Raw genomic sequence first — 20,280 nt, forward strand, 5'->3', positions numbered from 1 at the left:
CTGTTGAGAACAGAGGATTGGCCCAGATATGGGGTAGAGGTGACTTGTCCAAGGTCATGAGCAAGCCGGGGTCAAGCCAGGCAGCAACCCAGGTCCCCCTCCTTCCCCATCTCCCACTTCTCTGGAACATGCTGTCATTTCTCCACATCCCCTCACACGGACCATGAAGTGAGAGGACCTGTCGCCTCCCACATTCTGGGGGTCCTGCTCCTCGTGATAAAGTCCAAGAACACATCTCCTCTGTTCACAGAGAGCCAAGGTCACCTGGCTGCCAATGACTGTCGCACAAACACACCTGGGGTCTGAGCCTTATCCTGCCCTGAAGGTGTCTAGACCCTCACGCTGTCTCTGGTGTGGAGCCCTGTTAAACTCCACACATTAGAGCCAATGTCAGCCTCTTGACAGTTTCTTGGACCCTGATTGTCTCAGTCCACATGTTCTGGCTCCCTCCTGACCTGAAGTCAGGCACACATTTGGTCAACAATGTGACAGGACCAAGGACAGAGCCCTGCAGCCTGCCCTTAGAGACCTCCCATGCCACGCGGGAACCCATTAGCCGGCACTGTCCGTGAAACCCACTTGCTGGGAAGAACGCCCCACGCTTCCAAGCTGCCTGCCGGAGCCCTGCTTCAGCCAGGTCTGGCAGCAAGTGGCACCGCCACAGCAAACCTCCTGGACGTGGCTGCATGTGGGGAGGGAGAGATGAGGAAACCCCCAGAAAGATGGCCCCATGACAGCCTCCCCTACAGACCCCACACCCTCCATGCCCTGCCACCCAGAGTGGCATCTTACCTCGGGTTGGGTGGGTGTCTGGGGAGTACAGCTGGGCAGGGCTCAGCCTGGGCTGGACTCAGTCGCCCTCTCTGCCTGTGGGCACTGGAGCCTCAGGGCCTGTGGGTGCCGGAGGCTGTGGGGAGAAAGAAGAGGTGGCTGTCAGCTAGAGCAGGGCAGCAGGTGGTCGGGGTGCAGTGGGGGCCACGCCTGCAAATGGGGTCTGATCCCGCCTGGCTGAGCCATTAAAAACTCATACATCCCCCCCACACACACTCTGACATGCACACACTTGCACACACTCACACATGTACTCTCATTCACTGGCAAACTCATGCTTACACACATAGATGTGTTGTCAATTGTGCATGCCCACATGTGCGTGCGGGCGTGCACACACACACACACTCATGGCACTAGCTGGGGGCAGGCAGGGCTCTGGGAAGCGCAGAGTTTGTGGCCCCAGGCAGGCTGGAGTCTGACTATGCCTCTCCCACCATCCGGCTCTGTGGCCCTGCAAAAGCCACTTCTCTTATCCATAAAAGAAAAATACCATCTCTCCTGCCAGGACTGCTGGGAAGATAAGAGAGAGAGAAGGGACACATGGCCTGGCTCACAGTAGGTGTGCAGCCAATGTCACTGCCTGCCTTCCTCCCCAGCCAGTTCCCAGGAGGCAGGCCCCAGGCTGACCCCGAGAGGGGATGATGGGCAGCACCGGGGTGCCTCCCTTGGGCCTGAGCCTCAACTTCCCAACCCCCATCTACTCACCCTCCCATTCCCCAGCCTCTCCTGCCTTTTTTTTTTTTTTTAAAGAGGCAGAGTCTTGCTCTGCCACCCAGCCTGGAGGGCAGTGGTGCCATCATGGTTCACTGTAGCCCAAACTCCTGGGCTCAAGCGATCCTCCCACCTCAGCCTCCCAAGGAGCTGGGACTACAGTTGTGTGTATCACCACACCTGGCTAATTTTTTAATTTTTTTGTAAACTATGTTGCCCAGGCTGGTCTCAAACTCCTGGCCTTAAGCAGTCCTCCTGCCTTGACCTCCCGCAGTGCTGGGATTATCGGCGGAGCCATCATGCCCAGCCATCCTACTTTATTTCTTCATCATATATTCTCCAAGGGTTCCTCTAGACCAGACCCTCCATCCTCTGTGAGTAGGGGAGGGCGCTAGGAAGTTCTGGTTCCTTGGCAAGGCTCTGAGGCGTCCATGGTGCAGGACATAACCTCAGTTCAAAGTCCAAGGAAGTGGGTTAACTCCTAGCTCTCCCTCCTTCTGGCCAGGTGGCCCTGGGGAAAGCTTCTTCCTCTGTACCTCAGTTTCTTCAACCTCTCAGACCAAGTCCCAAATATCTTTCTGAGCTGCTGCAGAAAGGTTTCAATCAGATCTGTGTTTCCCAAAGTAGGAGACACATGCTTCTGGGGGTGCACAAGGGGATTTCGTGGTGTGCAGACAAATGTTTTCATTTTCATAGCTACGTGTTTCTCTTTCTGTGTATTGGAAAAAAAAACATGACAGGCACATCACAGGTGTGATTTCCGGATGTGTGCTTGGGGAGCATTGTGGTAATCCACCTTCAAACGAAAGTCCACACGAAGACAAGGATTAAGAAAACACAAGTGCAGGTGGTGCCCAGGGGTGGCTTCAACCGTGATGGTGAAAGGGAAGCTCAGGAAGCTGGCATCGAACCAGCACCTGGCTCCCAGCAGCCCTTGAGAGGGCAAGCAGCTTCCGCCTTCCCTGGAGGGCCAGACCAGCCCCTCCTTTCTGCTCGATTCCCTGTTGGGTGCCGTCCAGCACAGGCCTAGGACCCCAGGGGCATTCACAAGGCCTTCCAGATGGGATAGATGGAAGGATGGGTGGATGGGGCTCCAAGGTGACAGCTATAATGTGGGCAGAAGATGGAAAAGCCCTCAGGGTCCCTCCCAGAATCAACATTCTATCAAATCTAAGATGCAAATGTTGGAATTTCTAGCCGCGTGGTAGGTGAAGATGTAGGAGATGCTTTGGGGCCAGGGTCTTCATATATTATGGGCTGCAGACTTCTCCAAGGAGGCAGAGAAGTGGGTGCTGAGCAGGCTCCAGGGCCCACTTTGGCTTTCCAATCCTGACAACAGAGCCACAAAGCAGCCCAGACCAGTGAAGAGAGACCTGCTCAGCCCCACGGTTCACCAGCCCCAAACTAGGCCCCTGTTGCCAGCTGGCCCTGGGTGCATCTCCCACTGGTTGTTGATCCTGGAGGACAGGACAGAACATAGTGGTGCCAGCCTAGGACACAGGGGTAGCAGAGCCTGGGCAGCTCCTCAGGCCCGGGTACCCCAAGCCAGGTCTAGTCAGACAGGGGCACTGTCAGCGGCCTCCCAAGCTGGATCCCGATAGACTGGCACAAGCCAGTCAGGCCCAGGCCAACCCGGGCAGCCCTGTCCTTGGAAGGCCTCCAGACCACCTGGCTGGCGGCCCTGAGCCCAGCTCCACCTGAGCTGGCAGGGTAAGCCATCCCCACAGTGCCATTCCGGGCCCCCGGCTGCCATGCTCCAAGACAATGAATGGGCCTCCCGCTCCCTTCCCCCCAAACCTTCCAAAGCTTCCTAAAGCTCCCACTCTCCTCTGTGGCATCACAAGGAGTTGCTATGGAAATGGGGCCACAGGCAGAGCGTGACAATGATTTGGGGCAGGGGAGGAGACGCAGTGGGAGCCGGGCACTCTCCTGGACACGAGGTCTGCCAGTGTGCCAGGTCCCAAGAAAGACATGAAACCCCAGCTGCAGGCCTCACAGCCAAGGAGGGTGGAGGGGGCTGCAGCCAAGGTTGGGGGCCTCCTACCTGCCCTCTTGGCTCCTTGCCACCCCAGTGGAGCCCAGGGAGCTCTCAGCCTGTGTAGTCTGTGTGTTCAGCAGAATGAACAAATGCCCCGGAGAATGTGAGACCTCCACAGAAACAGCTCTTCAAGGACTCTGACAAAGTGGGTTCAGCACTGAGTGGGGCTGGCACCCGGTACACACTCAGCAAACACTGATCAGAAAGCAGGGCCCTGGTATGTGTGCTGTGTGGGTATGTCACGTAGGCCTGTGACTGCTCTGGACAACATGGTGCATAATCACAGAGCTTGAGAGGCCCACGCCCACTGTACAGATTGGGAGACTGAGGTCCAACCAGGGTCAGGGTCACACAGAAAGTCAACCAAAAAGCCAAGCCCAGAGCCCAGGTCTCCTCTTCCCCAGACCTGAGCCCCTCTGATCAATACCCCTAGCTATTTCCTCATTATTCATTCTACTTTTGTTAAGTACCTACCATGTGTTTGGTCACTGGAACAGAGAGATATAAAGGACACTGCTCTTGCTCAGAGGAGACAGACCATCATGATCAGAGGGCGGGCGCCAGGCCAGAAGGCCAGGGACTGCAGGAGCCCAGGGAAGGGTCCCTCAGAGTTTTAGGTTATGCACTTCTGAGCCATGCTTCTAAGAGACCTCTGAGTTTCCCCAACTTTTCTCCCAGCTGCTCCCACAGCCCAAGGCCCCCTTACAGTCCACCTGGGGCCCACACCTCCAGGAGGTAAAGGGTGGTATTTCTCATTAGCACCCCAGGCCCCAGGAATGACGGACTGTGAGGAAAGTGCCTTGCTACCCAGAAGTAACTCAAAGAATGTGGGCCCCAGACTTGCCTCCTCCTCCCCCAGCCTCAGCAGCTCCCGCTTTGTTCATTAGGTCCTTGCCCTTTCTCTCTCTCTTTCCTGGGCACCTCCCATGAGCCAGGCATGACACTGAGCCTGGGGTGAGCAGAGAACCAGTGAGCCCTGCTGGCCACCATTCTGACGGAAGGAACACAAGTCCCTATCTCTGTCAGCAGCATGCAAGCTCTCCCCTGTGATTTTTGGTGGGTTTTGTTTTGTTTTCTTTTTTTTTGAGGGATGGGGCTGTATTGAGAGAGTAAGAGGGAACACCTTCCAGAGTTTGGCTTGGAAGACCCGCCAGCTGTGTGTGTGCCATGCCTCCCAGCGGCTGTGACAGCCTCCCAGGACCTATGCTACACAGGTGGAAACCAAGGCCCTGAGAGGTGGCCAGGTGGACTCCAGGAAGCTCAGCACTGAGAAGGCAGGACGGGGAAAGAGCCGCAAGGAAAGAAGGGAGGGCCAGGTCCAGAGCTGTGGGAAGGGAGGAAGAAGCTGTCTTGGAAGGCTTCCTGATGGAGGAGGGACTAGGATTGGCTCAGAGCCCTCCCTTGGGCTCTGGCAGGAAAAGAGTCTCTTCCAGAGAGAGAACCAGGCCAGGGCCTCCCCTTCCAGCCCACATGACTTGGGGCTAGGCTGGCAGGTGGAGGGCAAGGGGGGCACATTCCGTGACAGCTGCCATCCTGTCCCCAACTAAGGGCTGCCACCACTGCCACCTCACGTCCCTAGTTACTGCTGTCTGATGGGAAACCAGCTGGGGATGGGAAAACAGCAGAGACAGAGGAGTGGGGGCAGAGCATACGAGAGACAGAGGCTCTGAGAGAGACAGAGCAGCAGTGACCCCAAAGCCAGCTGGACAGAGGGAGAGTAGAGAGCTGAAGATGGATATGGAGCCGAAGATGGAGATGGAGCATGGACGGATGGGGCCACCCCTCCCCTCCCCCAGAGCCAGGCCTGCAGCTGCCGAGAGGAACAGACACACAGCTGGGAAGGAGCCTACAAACCAGGGCTTTGCAAAGATTTTTCAGCAATAAAATTCTTATTTGAAATGAAATCTGATGCAGTGGAGGAAGCGTTTATATGCCAGACATTAAATCCAGAAGCCATAAAGTGAAAATTCAACAAATCCAACTACTGTACATAAACGTGTAAAACATCCGTACAGCAAAAGACACATAAACAAAGTTAAAAGGCAAATGAGACAATGGAAGAAAATGTCGCTAATATGCAAAGAGCCCCTACAAATCAATAAGAAAAAAGACAAAAGAAGAGAAAAATTGGCAGTGAATTAGAAATCTGCAGAGGAGGAATTAAATTGGCCAATAAATGCATGAAAAGATGTTCTATCTCACTAGCAATCAGGGAAATGCAAATGAAAGTGACATGCTACCATTTTTTGCCTATCAGATTGGGAAAAATTTAAATGATTGATAACAAGCAGTGCTGGCAAGGATGTGGGGAAATGAGCACTCCCAGACCATTGGATGGAGGGGGAATTGGCTCAACCTTTGGAAGGGTAATTTGGCAACACTGATTAACATTTTAACCCAAACACTCTACAACCTAGTAATTCCACTTCTGGGAGCCTCTCCCATGAAATAATAGCACAAGCATTCATGTATACATGCTCAAGGATGCTCACGGAAACATTGCTGGTAAGACCGAAAAAGAAATTGGAAATGGCCTAAACGTTTATCGATAAGAGAAAGTTCAAATAAAATATAGCATGTCCACACTATGGAACACTCTGCAGCCATCTGACAGAGTGAGGCACGTCTATGTATAACAATAGAGAAAAAATCAAGCTGTAAAATGCTATTTCAGCATGAGCCCATTTCTGTAATTAACGATTTGTTGCTATATGCCCCAAAAGGCTGGAGGACAGCACGCCAAGCTTTACAGCAATCACCTCCGAGCAGTGGGACAAGTGGGCTTTCATGGCCTGTTTTCCACAAATGTATTGTTGGGTCTTCTGTTGTAATCAGAAAAACAAAATCAATAAAGAGTTAATGGGTTTTTTTTTTTTAATCCTTCTCAGACCCTAATAGGAAATGCAGATCTAAGCAGGGCTGCTCTGGCTAAAGGGGGAGGGGACCAACATCCATCCATTCAGCCCCATCCAGTCCCAGCCCCACCCTCGTATCCTGAGGCCCCTTCTGGAAACACTAGGGCTCTAGGACCAGTTTGAGAAGCTCAGCTGGAGACTGTGGAACCCATGCCTACGCTCCCCCAGGCCAAGGTCGACAGGGTCAGAAGGTTGCTCAAGGTACACCGGCAGCCAGGGCCTGTGACTCCTCAGCACGTCTCCGGGCCTCCCAGGCGAGGGTCAGGGGTTTCTCTAGGTATCCAGAAAACCCTGAGATGGTCACAGCCCTGGGGAACCCAGAATTGGGGCTGAGGGATAAAGGGAACATAGAAAGGGCCTTTGCAGAAAACTCCAGGAAAGGGGGCTTCAAGGCTCCAGTGCTGCAGGAAGGGAGAGAGAGAGCGAGGAAAAGAGGGAGAAGCTGGGGTGTGTTTCTCCCTATATGTACAGAGAGTGGGGGGATGAGCCCATGGGGTGCGTGGAGGTGACTGGGGCATGCAGGTATGTGGTGCTTACAGATAGAGGGCACATGTGGGTCTGCGGAGGTGAACTCTGGAGGGTGTGTGGGTTCCAAGCGGTGCAGAGGCGTGTCTGTAATCTAGAATCAGTGTGTGTGTATGTGTGTTGTCACTCTCGGGGATGACAGCAAAGAGACAGCATGTGTGTGTCTGGAGGGAGAGGAACACAGCAGATCCACGTATATGTGTGCATAGTGTGTGTAGTATGTCCTGTGCCCCCGGGTGTTCCCCCAAGGTGTGTGTGTGTGTTTGTGTGTATGTTAGGAGGTATAGGCAGCCAGGAGGCCTGCAGAGGGGCCAGGAGCAGGTGGCAAACTGCAGAGATCAGGCCATTCTGGAAATGCCCCTCCCACTTATGAGTCAATCAACAAATTCAGAGAAAACTGCCCAGAAGGAGCATAAGGCCCCCTCCAGTTCCAGAAGGCCCCCTTCCCTTGAACAATTGTTTGCACAGCTCGTGTTCCACCTGCCTCCAGGAAGCAGGGACTGCGGGAACCAGCAAACTCCTCCTAATGAGTGGTGAATGACACTCTCTACCTGGGTCTGAGCCGCAACTAACACAACTTCCTGGAGGTCTCCTGTCCCCACCTCCACACTCACCCATGTTCCATCTGCAGCTGCCACGGGAGCACTCCAAAAGGCAGATCCAACCACATGGCTGCCTGCTCCACACCCTTCTATGGCTCCCTATTGCTCCCTGCCCGCACTCCTTACTGGGACCACCAGACCCCCTGGGGCCCATCCCCAAGTGGCCTTCAGCTTCATGTCTGACCCCAGTGCCTCCCAATACTACCCTCCAATCAGACTGGGCCTCCTGTGTTCCTCAACAGAACTGAGCCTCCAAACCTTTGCACCTGCTGTTCCCCCTGGGGGATGCCTGTCCTCCCTGACCAGTCCCCACCACCCTCTAAGAAGCCTCTCCCTACAGGGCTGGAGTGAAGCCCCTCTGGTACACCCACCCTGTGCTCACCTCTGTCCCACCCTCATCCCCTAAGCTGTAACTGCTGACAGGTCTGGCTTCCCCAGGGGTAGGGGCTGGGTCTTGCTCTTCTCTGTACCCTAGAACCCAGCCTAGGCCTAGCACAGAGGAGGCATTAGGCACAAATGTTATAGACTGAGCCAGGAGTGGTGGCACACACCTCTAGTCCCAGCTACTCAGGAGGCTGAGGTGGCAGGATCGCTTGAGCCCAGGAGTCTGAAGCTGCAGTGAGCTAAGACCACACCGCTGCACTCCCTGGGTGACAGAGCGAGACCCCATCTCCAAACAAACAGACAAACAAAAAATCTGAAGAAAAAAAAAAAAGATGTTTATAGAATGAATGAATGGGTTCTCACAGTGATATAGTTTGGATGTTCCCTCCAAATCTCATGGTGAAAGGTAATTCCCAGTGTTGGAGGTGGGGCCTAGTGGGAGGTGGCTGGGTCATGGGGGTGGATCCCTCATGACTTGGTGCTGTCCTCGTGATAGTTGAGTTCTCAACAGATCTGAGATCTGGCCGTTTGAAAGTGTGTGGCACTCCCCCATCTCTCTCACTCCTACTTTCACCCTGTGAAGTGCCTGTTCCCGCTTCACCTTCTGCCATGAGTAAAAGCTCCTGAGGCCTCCCCAGAAGCTGAGCAGATGTTGCCACCATGCTTCCAATACAGCCTGCAGATCCATGAGCCAATTAAACCTCTTTTCTTCATAAATTACCCAGTCTCAGGAATTTCTTTATAGCAACACAAGAACAGCCTAATACACACAGTTCTCAGCCCCTAAGCCACGCACAGTGGGCCCTTCTTAAGGCAGCAGGGTAGAGCAGAAAGGGTGTGGCCTGGGGGCTGGAACACCTAGCATCTCATCCTAGGTAGCACAACAGGTGACATTAATCATGTCACCTGGGGAATGAGTAAAGCAGGAGTTCCCAGCAGGGTTCACAGGGAGGGAGGACTACAGAGGTCTGTGAGCCCCAAAACTGCACAAAACTGGCTATGATGATTCACATGCAGGAGGGGCTGGGCCCCCATCTCTAACACAGGGCCATGGCTTTCATCAGATTCCTCCAGGTGCCCCCAGCCCAAAGATCCAGAAGCACCAGGCAGGAACAGGGCAAGGCTCACCCCCAAAGGAATGCAGACTCGCACGATATGCACCGAAGGCAAGAGAGAGTGCTGAGGGGAGGGACTAGTGCAAGTCATGTGGCCCCGGGTCCCAAGCCAAGATCCCTGTGTGAGTCCCTAGAAGTAGATGGCCAGAGAGGGGAGGGAGCTGTCCAAGGCAGGCAAGCTGTCTGGATAAGGGGTGAGCTCCCCATCGGGGAGGGCGAGAGCACAGGCTGGATAGGCAGAGGTCAGAGTGAGTGAGCGACAACCCTGAGTCTCATTCTCAGACTCTTGGCCTCAGCTTCTCCATCTTACACCCGGGGCTAGACAAGGTGGTTCACGTGAGTCTATCTGAGTGTGTGCAAGGATGTGCAGGGGTGTGGCTGGCCTGACCCCGGCTCCAGGCTGGAGGGCTGAGAGGTCTGTGCAGTCTGCCCACCCAGCAGTGGCCTGAGGCCCACTTCTCTCGTCCTCCTGCTTCCCAGCTGCAGCAGGCTACTGGCTGCCTGGGCTGTCCCACACTGCTAAGTGAGCCTGCAGAGCCCCAGGTCCCTCCTGGGTACTGCGGTTACCACCTCCCACGTTATAGTGACCATAGAAATGACAGGAGTGAGAGGGTTCATTATGAGCCTGGGGCCAAGGGAGCCCAAGGGCTGGATGGGAGTGCTGAGAAGGGCTGGCAGCCAAGCCCAGGCCACATGGTCTCAGTGCCCACCCCCCCAACTGCTCCTGACCCCTCCAGGGGCCTCCCTCGGCCTGGCCTGGGTCACACAGGAAGTTGGTGGTATATTTGAGCCAGGATCCCAGGCCTTGCACCCTGGGCTGGGCTTACTCTGGGCACCAATGCACCTTGTCCCCCTTGGACAACTCTGTGCATGCCTCAGCATCCCCTAATCCTGCCAGAAAGAGATGGCCAGCATTGGGGTTCCAAAAGACTAATTCAAATGCAGGCCTGCGGTGTTCCCTGGATGCAGCCACCTGAGCCTCAGTTTCCTCCTCTCTAAAACAGAGTACAAAAATTGCCCTCCTACTCCTGCTGGGAAGATTAATAAGGGCAGGGGTGCACCATATGACAGAACAGAACAGAGACCTTCCACCCACCCTCCATCTCTGGGCCTCAATTTCCCCATCTCTAAGCAAGAGGGTTACTCTGAATGATACCCCAGGTCCCCAGAGTCTGATGCTTTGTGGGAGGCCTGCCCAGGTGCCCAGCCTATGCCTAGCTGGGCCTGCCGTGGAAGGACAAACTGCAGGGCAGAGACTGTGGCCTGCCCTCAGGGGGCTCTCTGCTAGTTGGCAGACGAGAGCTGTGGCTGTGGAGCAAGGGCACTGTCTACTTAGCAAAACTGTGTGGAAGTGCCCATGGCAGGGCTTCCAAACTGGTGGTCTCGGTGCCTCTGTGTTGCCACAGTCTCTACCACCCCATATTGCATCACACCCAGCCAGCTCCATGCATTTCCTCCATGCGTTTCCTGCCGGGCCCCTGTAGGCTCCAAGGGCCACAAGAAGCTTAAAAATGGGAACAAGTGTGAGCTGGGCATTGATCAAGGAAGGTTTCTTGAAGGAGACAGGACAAGAGGGCCAAGGACTCACAGGAGGCCTTGAATATCCAGATGAGGATCACACAGACACCCAGAACCACTGATGGTCTTCCATGTACCCCCTCTCCTCAGGCAGGGATACCTGACCCCACCCGGGGCTGACCTCAGAGCTGTGACCCCGGCAGAGGGCTTTGGCGGGAGTGGGGAGCTAAGCTCGAGGTTCCCTCCACCTCTCCTCGGCAGCTATGGACTGTGAGTCCATCCCGGAGAAATCAGTCCTGGTTGGTGATGTCCAGCAGCCGCCGAAGCCTCATTGCAAACAGCGATGCCACTGGTGAGTGCCACCTGACCACGGAGGGCTTCCCGGCAGATAAAGAGCAATGCTGGCCCCAGACTCATTCATATTCCAGTCTGGCTGCCGGCTTCAATATGGCTGAGAGACGCGAGGGCAGAGGCGGCCCTCCGAGAATGCCCAGTGATGATTCCTCTCCGATTCCAATTTATTTTCTATCATTAATGGTTTTGAAAAGCCCCACATTCTCTGCAAACAGGAAGAAGCACAGGGCTCAGGAGGAGAGGCGAGGAAGAGGGTCGAGGGCGGAGGGGTACTCGGCAGAAGTGGAGCAGGCAGCAGCCTGGGTTCAAATCCCCTCCCCAGCTCCACCTGCCTTCAGGTCCCTGGGGCGAGCTTGACCTACATCTGTCCACAGGGGATGGGCATCCTGTTCTGCCCACCCCAGGGGACTGTTTTCAGATCTACCTAGGGGTCAGAGGTGAGTGGGCTTTACAAACTGTAAAGGGCTATACACTTGAGGAAAAGAGAATGAAGCAAACCCGACCATAGCAGCAGAGGCCTATGAACTGGACGCCTGCTTCCTCAGATACTCTAGGGGACCCCGACCCCCCAGTCCAGGGAAGAACTGGAGTGCCTCTCCCCACAGCACAGGCAGAGGAGGTGAGCGCCAGGATCTGGGTCTCCAGGCTTGTCTCAAATTCACACCACTATCCTCCCATCTCCCCCCAGGCCGTGGTGACCAGCCTCCCAGCCAGCATCTCTCCTGCCCCATCATCCACACTATGGAGCCAGAGGGATCTTCCCTGCATGAGTGTCCTGCTTGGAACCCTTCCAGGGCTCCCCGTTACCTTGAGATCAAGTCCAAACTCCCCACCTGCCATGCAAAGCTCTCCCTAGTAGCTCAGGCCCATCTGGGCAGCCTCGGCTCCAGCCACACCCAGCTTCTCAGAGGTCACCCTTCTCTGCCTTCGCATGCTGTTTCCTGTCTGGAATTCCTTCCTCCTTGACCCAGTTCATCCCATCTCCTACCCCTTCTTCAAGGCGCAGTCCAAATGCTTCTCTTTCCTGCAGCCTTCCCCGAGTACCCCGGCATGCCCTGCTCTGGGCTCCTCATACCCAGGACCCACCTGTAGTGCAACTCAGTAATGTAGTGATTATGTTTGTGTGGTGGTGCCCCCTCTAATCAGTGAGCTCTCCTGGGCAGGGGCTGCTTCGGATTCATCCTGTGCATTCCCAGTGCTTGGCAAAGTGCCTGGCTGCCAGTGGAGCTGTTTATCCAACTGGCCAACCTTAATGGAACACCCATTATGTGTCAGGCTCTGTCCCGGGTGCAGCAGCCAGTCCTGGCCCTCAAGTTGCTTCAAACGGATGTGCTCAGGGAACCTCTAGGGAATGAATGGATGGACATATAATCACTCTGTAATGGGGAAACTGAGGCGCAAAGAGGCAAAAATGCCCTTTTCATGGGTGTTCCTGCCTCCCTGCACACGTCTCTTCTACTCCATTTCTCTCCCAGGACCACAGCAGCAGTGCAGAGAACTCAAAACGAAAGGTTAGAGTCAAAACAGGGGGAAAGAAAGGAAGAAGAAAATCTGGTGGATTTTCCCCTTTCCTCCATAATGTAAAGAAAATTGCTTTTGCCAACTATCACAGCTTAAAAGCAATTAGAGTTTTTGGAGGGGACTCTGGGCACGAGCAGAAGCAACAGAGCGAGCGCCCGGCACGGAATTTTTCCAGCGTTCGTTTGTATCAAGCAAAAGAAAAAAGGCGTTAAGAGCAGCAACTTCCAGCAGCAGAGATGGTGAAGACAAAATATTTACAGTCTCTGAGGGAGGGGCCTGGAAGGGGCCAAGGACCTCCTCTGGTCCCCACCCAGCTCCACATTCTAGGAGGCAGGGAATGGGGTGGAAAAAATCAAAGATAAGGAGATGAGCCTTACCCATGCAGGCTTGGGTCAAGGGGGAGAGAAGCCCCCAGCTGCCCCCTGCTCGCTCACCCCTTCCCCACCACCCATGGCCCCCAGCCACCAGAGATCCATTCTGTAAACCTCAGACCTGGACACAATTCTCCCCTGTTCAAAATCCAGAGAACATCCACCACTGCAGGCTGGCACTGGAGGCCTGCACAGCCCGGGCCCCTCTCCAGCCTCATCTGCAGATGCTCCCCAATGTGGCACACTGCCCTGACTGTCCTCTGAGAAGCCACGGTCAGTTTCGCCGCAAGGCCTTTGCCCAGATACAGGAGCATAAGGATGCATTCCTGTATCGGGGCAAAGGCCTTGAGAGGGAGGTGAGGCAGGTTTGAGGATCTGGATCCAGTGCAGGGAAGCTGAGCCAAGATCCCACAGCCCTAGACCCGAATGCTGGCCTGCCAGCCAGGCCTCTGCTGCTGAATCCCTCCTTCACCTGGACTTTTGCTGGACCCTTGACCTCCTCCCTCCAAATACAGAGCAGACACCTCTTCCTGAAACCACACTGCCTTCGTCCCAGCTGCAGCACAGACTCCCCTCTGTCTGGCACACAGACACAGCCTCCTGTAGAAGCAATGCTCCTATGTTCAAATGCCAGCTCCTCCATTCATTAGCTGCGTGATCTCCACCAAGTCCCTCAATCTCTCTGAGCCTCAGTTTCCTCATCTGTTAAATGGGGATAGTAATAGTGCACAGCTCATGGGGTTGTTGTTAGGATTAAATGAGGTAATACAGGTAAAGCATCTGGCACTGTGCCCAACACTTAACAGGGGTTCAGTGAACTCTCCTCTGCCCTATTTCACGCTCAACCCTCAGGTGTGACTCCCCAGGCCTCGGATGGCCCATATATGCGCACTCAGGCTCCCACTCCACATGCAGTCACCCAACAAATGCTCACTTGGAAGGCACGTGCCGGCTAGGAGCAAAGGGCACTGGAGGCTCTAATGAGCCTTGCACACACATGGAGGCCCAATCCCTGAGCACAGGGCCAGGATCCTCCCATTTTGCTTGGCTTAGGAAGGATTCCTCCAAGAACGCTGGTAAGCCTCAGCCAGAGCCCTTAGAATCTGCCAGGCCAGGTGGAGGAGGTGAATGGAGGTTCAGCCTCCCAGGGGGATGAGGAGCATGCCTCCCCTCCAGCCCGAGGCCTGCAGGTCAGCTCTCAGCCATCCTCCCAGCCCTACTGGACAAAGGCAAGCACCAAAACCCAGCAGGTAGTGATGAGGATGAGAGCAGAAACCAGGCCTCAAAGGCAGCGGGATCCGGGGAAGCCAGGCAGTCCTGAACTCAAATCTCACCCCCACCCCTAACCAGGCGGGTGACCACCCTGAACCTCAGTTTCCTCATTTGTAAAATGGAGTCGATAATGCCCACCTTGCAGAACAGCTGTGCACACAAATGAGGGTAACGTTCTTCCAGGTCCCTCTGGGATCTAGCATATAGTCACTGTGGGAACACACAGAGGCTATGCCCCGCCCCGACCCGATTCCTGGACTATAAGCATGGTGCCCTCCCCCAACCCCCACAGCACTGGGAGAGCAGAGGGAAGGCCTGGTGGGCTGAGGGGACACCAAGGACCCGTGCTGTTTCCTGTGACCCTTCCAGTCTACTTCCTGCCTGGCAGGGGGGTGAAGGACCAACCTACAGCCAGCCATGACCTGTCCTCCCCACCTGGCTCTCAGAGCAGAGGACGCCCAGCCCCTGCCTCGTTTTGCCAGGGAAGAAACATTTGCCCAGGAGAGGTGGCAACATGCCCCTGTCTCACAGCTCCCATTGAGCCACTCGTCCGAGGTGAGGTGGCTTCCTCTCCTTCCCCAACCGCAGAGAACAGACAGGCTTGCTGTGGGTCTGGTGGCGCTGCAGGGCTGGAGAGCAGGGATCAGGAGGTGTCCTGATGTCTCTGCCTTTCACTCCCACTCTGGCTGCCTTTCTCCCAGTGGCCTCTCCCACCCTCCTCCCCCAATGACCTCAAGAATAAGCCCAACAGTAAGCCTGGCACTAATCAGGGCACTCCTCCTTGCTGTGGGGGCTCACTATGGACAGGAGACCAGTCTCAGTCCCAGATGGCTGAGCCTCAGGACACTCCACTGAGGCCTCCTCCCTAACCTGCACAGCTCTTCTCCTCTCGGGTAAGTAACTAGGCACACACACAAACATACACACACACACACACACACACGCATACACATGCACACACTCACACACACATACACAAGCACACACACACGGGTAACTAGGCTCACACACACACATACACATGCACACACACACACATGCACACACACACACACAGAGGAATCTAGGGAGGAGAGGGAGAGGGACAGCGAGGAGGGCAGACTCTAATAGGGGAATCCTAGGCCCATCCCCCAGGATGACTGGCAGCCCTTCCGCAGCTGATCCAGCCTCCCGGCTCTGTACCCAGGGGAGCACTAGTGGGTCCTGAATGACAAGCCCATGTGGCCTGGAAGCAGAGGATCCTGGGACTGAGAAGCCAGATGCCTGACTTATTGCCAAGGCTCTGCAGTGCTTCACCATGAGACACAAGACAGAACTGGCCACTCCCTGTGCCTCAGTTTCCTATCTGGAACCTAGAGGAGGAATGAGATCATCTCTAAGTACGCCTTCTAGTTCCAGCATTCTGTGACTCCATACCTGTGACCTCTGGGACCCCTCAGGGAGTCCAAGCATCGGAGAGTACTGGGGGAGGAATCACCCTAACCCCAAGGAGGCGGGGAAGCCCAGGGAGACCTGTAGCTACCTTGGGCTGGCAGAGGGCACTCATTCTGCCACAGCCTCCCAGGGAGGAGTCCAGGCTCGGGCAGGAGGCCGGAAGACAAAGGAGAGCTCCTCAGTAGGGCCTCAGGCAGCCCGAGGCCCTCCCGGATGTCCACATATCCCCCAGAAGCTCACCCCCTTGAGTTTCACTTCCGATCTGTTCCGAGGTTACAGAGTCTTTGGTCCAGCCCAGATCTCAGGTGCAGCCCCAAGCCCCCAACACCCCCCCACCCCAATTCCCACAGCTGTCCAGACCCGATCCCAACCCCTCCTGCCAGGCCAGCCTTCCCACCACCTTCCCGGTTGCTCCCACAGGGTGGCCGGTGGGGGCAGCCCAGCTGCTTCTGCCAACAGAGGCTCCCCTGGCCCTGCATGGCCCAAGCCTGATAACATTCTCCTAAATTAAACAATAAACAAGAAGTTGTTTTAGATTTTCCTGACGCTGCAGTTCCTGATTAATCCCCACAGCAAACAAGAGAGATAATTAACCTAAAAGAGGGTCACTTCCTGTTTCCAGGTGGACCCTCCAGCCTAAGCCAGAGGAACCTGTTCAGAGGGGTCCAGCTCCAGACCACCTCTCCCCTCCCCTGCCTCTCCTGTGTCTGCCCAATCCTGGGCTACATCCGCAGCCTGCCTCCTAGATCCCACCTAAGCAAGTTGGGAGCAGGCACTCCAGCCTGGGGTTTTCCTGGCTGTGCCTGCGGCTTGCTGGGCAGGGGTGGGTGGGGTGGCCGGGGCCTCAGGGCCTTTGCAGAGGACCCTCCCCTTCACTGCTATGTGACCTTGGACAGGCCAAGTCACTTCAGAGGCCTCAGTCCGCTCATCTATCAGATTCTTTATCTCCCAAGGATAAAATGAAAAAAATTTGAGACCACTTAAGATTAGGCAGAAATATTTTATCTTATTTTTTAGAGATGGATGCTGAAATGTTTAGGTGTGAAAAGGCTTGATGTCTATAATTTAAAATACTCTGGAAAAAACAGATAAAGCAAAATGTGGGAAAATGTCAACAATTGTTAAATCTAGATGAAGGGTATACGGAGTTCCCTGTACTATTCTCTCTACTTTTTCGTATGTCTGAAAATGTTCCCAACAAAATTAAAAAAAAAAAAAATAGCACAGTCACGTGAGCCAGGCAGGAGCCCCACACACAATGCCTGGTGCTCCTGGTATGCCTGAAAGGCAACTGGGTCTCTGAAGTAGGTTAAACATCCCCCTGCCATCTCCTTTATGTTGTTTCCCTAGAAATCGCTTTTCACAAATTCCACTGAGCCCTAGCTGCACATTTAAAAGCCTTAACACATTCAGAAGCCAGATGCTGCCCTTTATTGAGGTGACTGCTGTCTTGTGACCACACCTCCCCCACCCACCAGGCTCCCCATGCCCTCTGCAGAGCAGCCCAGGGCTGGGGGTCCTGATACTGATTCCATCCTCATGCGGCCACCATCCTCTTGGAGCCTCAGAATACCCCTACCGGTGGAGCAGAAATGATGACAAGTCAGTAACTGCCCGGGCATCTCATTCAAAGGCAAAGTGTCACCGGACAAAGAGACTGAAATCTCCACTTAACAGATGGGAAAGCTGAGGCCCAGGGCCAGAAGAGACTGGAAGCAAAATAAGGAAGGTGGAGAATAGAGGGTGGAGGAGGTGGGCAAAAGCTCCCCAGCTGCTCCAACTCCCCCTCCTCCCCAGCCCTCTAGCCCCACCCTGGCGGTGTGGGTCACAGACAGGGGGGCTTGCGTCTCTTTCTCTGCCTCCTGTTTATTGAGCTTCCTGGTCAGAAATAAATGGCCATGATTGCAATCTCCCAGCCAGGCCCAGCTGACCCTCGCCAACAATGGCCAGGCTCACCTCCGTGGATCAATAATGGAGATTTATCAGTACCCCAAATGATCAATCACTAATTGCTGAGTGCCGTGCAATTCATCGGGGAGAGTTATGTATGGCTAGTGACTGGGTGGCCCCGCCCCATCCTGGCACAGCCATCAGGGACAGGGAGGGCCGTATCTATGATGAGCGTCTCAGGAGCAAAGCAACCCATAACTCGGGAGCTTCTCAAACAGATGTTTTGGGCCTAGCCCAAATCCCCAGGCCTAAGGGACTACCCAAGGAGGAGGTGTCAGTGGCCACAGAGGCCCCAAGGGAGGCACTGCATGACCCGGATCAGCCTAGTTGGCCCCCAGGCACGCCCAAGGAACACAAGATGGATAAGCCCAGTCCCTGCCACCAAGGTGCTCCCAAGTCAAAACAAAGACAAACCGCCCCCAGGCCTTGCATATAGTGGGTACACAGTAAATAATAAATGTTCCCTAAATGTAAAGCTGATACACTGCTCTCAGAGTTCTGAGGAAGGATGGGCTGCTTCCAGGAGGGGTGGCCAATAGAAGGTTTTTTTTTTAATGAGGCATTTGGGCTAAGCCTTAAAAAGTGGGTGGGATCTCCACGGACAGGGATGGGGGAGAACTCTCAGGTGGAAGGACCATGGAGGAGGACAGCGACAGCCCATCTGATTGGCTGGAGCCTGGGGACACAGAGAGGTGCTTAGGAGAGAGGGCTGGGGTGGGACATAGGCTTGGGCAAGGTGCCGAGGGGTCAGAACGCCAGCCTGGAGGTAACAGGGAGTGCTGGGAGGGTGTTGGGTGAGAGCATGACAGCCAGCCTGGGCTTGGGAAGGTCTGTCCATGGTTTCCACCAGGCTGCATGCCCCAAGAGGGCAGAGGCTGGTCCTACTCATCTCTGTCCCTATAGCACCCAGAACAGCCAGGCCCAGAGGAGGCGCCCAAACAGTGATACGTTGAATGATCATAGATCATCAAATTGCAGGACAGGGGAGTCCTGGAATTACAGCCGTGAAATAGCATGTTTTTATAATGCCCTGCCATGTAGAAAAATACGTATTAGAGCCTCAAAAATAGCCTTGTAAGGCAGGCAGGGAGATCATTTTGTCCCGTGTCCAAAGGGGAAAGCCGAGGCTCAAAGAAGACAGTGAGCTGTCTAAGGTTATACACCTTACACAAAGAAAGGGCCAGGGCCCAGCGCCCTCCCCACCCTGCCCCAGAAGGCTCAGGCCTGCTCGCCTTAGCATGGCCAGGGTTGCCTGGGAGGTGAAGGTCCATCCCTCACTCGTCCCTGGGCTCTCCTGCCCCCTAGGAAGCCCCCCCAATCTCAGCCCCTCCCTGTGCTGGGGCAGATGAGAAATACAGCAGATGCTGCCTCATTGAGCATCCCTCATTCCAGCCCCAGCTGAGACTGGCTACCAGTCCATGACAGCCTGTCCTTGTACCTATAATGGAAACAGGGCCAAGAAGGGAGTCTCTAGAACCCCCAAGTTGGTCTAGACAGAAGACAAAGCCACTCCTCCCCCAGTCTCCACCCCAGAAGTTTGGAAAGCCTCACTGTGGAGCAAGAACACTGGACCAGGAGTCCAGAGACAGGGTCAAGCCTAACTCACTGTGTGGCTTCTGGAGACCCACTTCCCACCGTGCCCTCAGTTTTCTCATCTGTGAAACGGAACAATGTTGTCTGCCTACTTTATTGGAACTACCATGAGGACTAAACAAAAGAAGGAGTATAAAAACACAAAATTATAAAGCAGATTTTGCCTTGGAAAATAATAATAATAAGGCTCCTCTTTACTTCTACCTGGACATTGAAACTCCAACCTGACCCACTTCCCTTTCCTGCAGAGGGCAAAACATCAGCTAACATTTACTGAGATCCTACAATGCCTCTGGCTAGTGGCTGCTTTACATGCATTATTTCCAAGTGGGCTACGGTAGACATCATCCCCGCATGACACCCATGAGGAAAGTGAGGCTCAGTAAAGTGACTTGTCCAAGCTCACCCAGCTTGAAGCAGCTGAGCCAAGATTCAAACCCATTTCCATCTGGCATCCAAGCCCAGGCCCTTTGGATTCACCAGACTGATTCGAGGAGCCACTCCATACCCCAAAGTCTCAGAGTTTCAGAATCAGCGCCTAGGGTTTGGGGATATGTCACATACACACACACTCCACTGAGGCCAGTGACCCTGACATCAGAGGCACTGTGCCACCCCATGGTAAGGCCATCAGAGCTGGGTGGGGCATGTGAGGAGGGTGGCTGGCACAGCTGGCCTTGAGCTAACTGGATCAGTCCTGGGCATGGAGCTGCCTATCCGGCTGCCCTGGCAGATGGGTGCTGGAACTGGGCCACCTGCCAAGGCCCAGTCTCCATGTCCAAACCAACCTGGACACCGAAGTTCCACTTTAGCCTCCTCTCGCCCTGACCCTGGTGGCTAGCAGTGCCCACATAGATCCAGAAGACCATGGTGGCAGCTGCTATCCCTCCTCCAGCGGCTGGCACCTCCCCTGATGTGGCCATATGGCCCCATATGCTCTCCGACAGCTGGAGTGCTGAAACAACTGCCTAAGGACGTCCTCTGCAGAGGCCCTGAGGCCCCGGCCACCCCACCCACCCCTGCCCAGCAAGCACAGGCACAGCCAGAAAAACCCAAGACTGCAGTGCCCACTCCCAACTTGCTTAGTGACCTTGTGCTAGCCACTGCCCCGCTCTAGGCCTCAAGCTCTTCCTCTATCAAACA

At 54.9% G+C, this 20,280-nt stretch overlaps 1 protein-coding gene across 7 annotated transcripts in view, besides 5 other annotated features; it reads right to left on the minus strand.

Moving 5' to 3' along the window:
• LINGO1 (leucine rich repeat and Ig domain containing 1) overlaps positions 1–20,280 on the minus strand; it is a 207,874-nt gene that overhangs the window by 182,120 nt on the left and 5,474 nt on the right. For all 7 annotated transcript variants that reach the window (NM_001301186.2, NM_001301187.2, NM_001301189.2 and 4 more), the window contains exon 2: positions 793–907. The gene's annotated coding sequence lies outside the window, so the exon portion shown is untranslated. The remainder of the gene's footprint in view (positions 1–792; positions 908–20,280) is intronic.
• Positions 2,709–3,408: an enhancer, noted in NCBI's record as "H3K27ac-H3K4me1 hESC enhancer chr15:78090197-78090896 (GRCh37/hg19 assembly coordinates)". NCBI's record gives its function as "activates a minimal SCP1, AML or CMV promoter by ChIP-STARR-seq in naive H9 embryonic stem cells {active_cell/tissue: H9 hESC(naive)}" and the evidence as "EXISTENCE:reporter gene assay evidence [ECO:0000049][PMID:30033119]".
• Positions 4,983–5,482: an enhancer, noted in NCBI's record as "H3K4me1 hESC enhancer chr15:78092471-78092970 (GRCh37/hg19 assembly coordinates)". NCBI's record gives its function as "activates a minimal SCP1, AML or CMV promoter by ChIP-STARR-seq in naive H9 embryonic stem cells {active_cell/tissue: H9 hESC(naive)}" and the evidence as "EXISTENCE:reporter gene assay evidence [ECO:0000049][PMID:30033119]".
• Positions 9,028–9,622: an enhancer, noted in NCBI's record as "H3K27ac-H3K4me1 hESC enhancer chr15:78096516-78097110 (GRCh37/hg19 assembly coordinates)". NCBI's record gives its function as "activates a minimal SCP1, AML or CMV promoter by ChIP-STARR-seq in naive H9 embryonic stem cells {active_cell/tissue: H9 hESC(naive)}" and the evidence as "EXISTENCE:reporter gene assay evidence [ECO:0000049][PMID:30033119]".
• Positions 13,465–14,332: an enhancer, noted in NCBI's record as "H3K4me1 hESC enhancer chr15:78100953-78101820 (GRCh37/hg19 assembly coordinates)". NCBI's record gives its function as "activates a minimal SCP1, AML or CMV promoter by ChIP-STARR-seq in naive H9 embryonic stem cells {active_cell/tissue: H9 hESC(naive)}" and the evidence as "EXISTENCE:reporter gene assay evidence [ECO:0000049][PMID:30033119]".
• Positions 15,747–16,248: an enhancer, noted in NCBI's record as "H3K4me1 hESC enhancer chr15:78103235-78103736 (GRCh37/hg19 assembly coordinates)". NCBI's record gives its function as "activates a minimal SCP1, AML or CMV promoter by ChIP-STARR-seq in primed H9 embryonic stem cells {active_cell/tissue: H9 hESC(primed)}" and the evidence as "EXISTENCE:reporter gene assay evidence [ECO:0000049][PMID:30033119]".

Source organism: Homo sapiens, chromosome 15 (assembly GCF_000001405.40).
Source record: "Homo sapiens chromosome 15, GRCh38.p14 Primary Assembly".
NCBI lineage: Eukaryota > Metazoa > Chordata > Mammalia > Primates > Hominidae > Homo > Homo sapiens.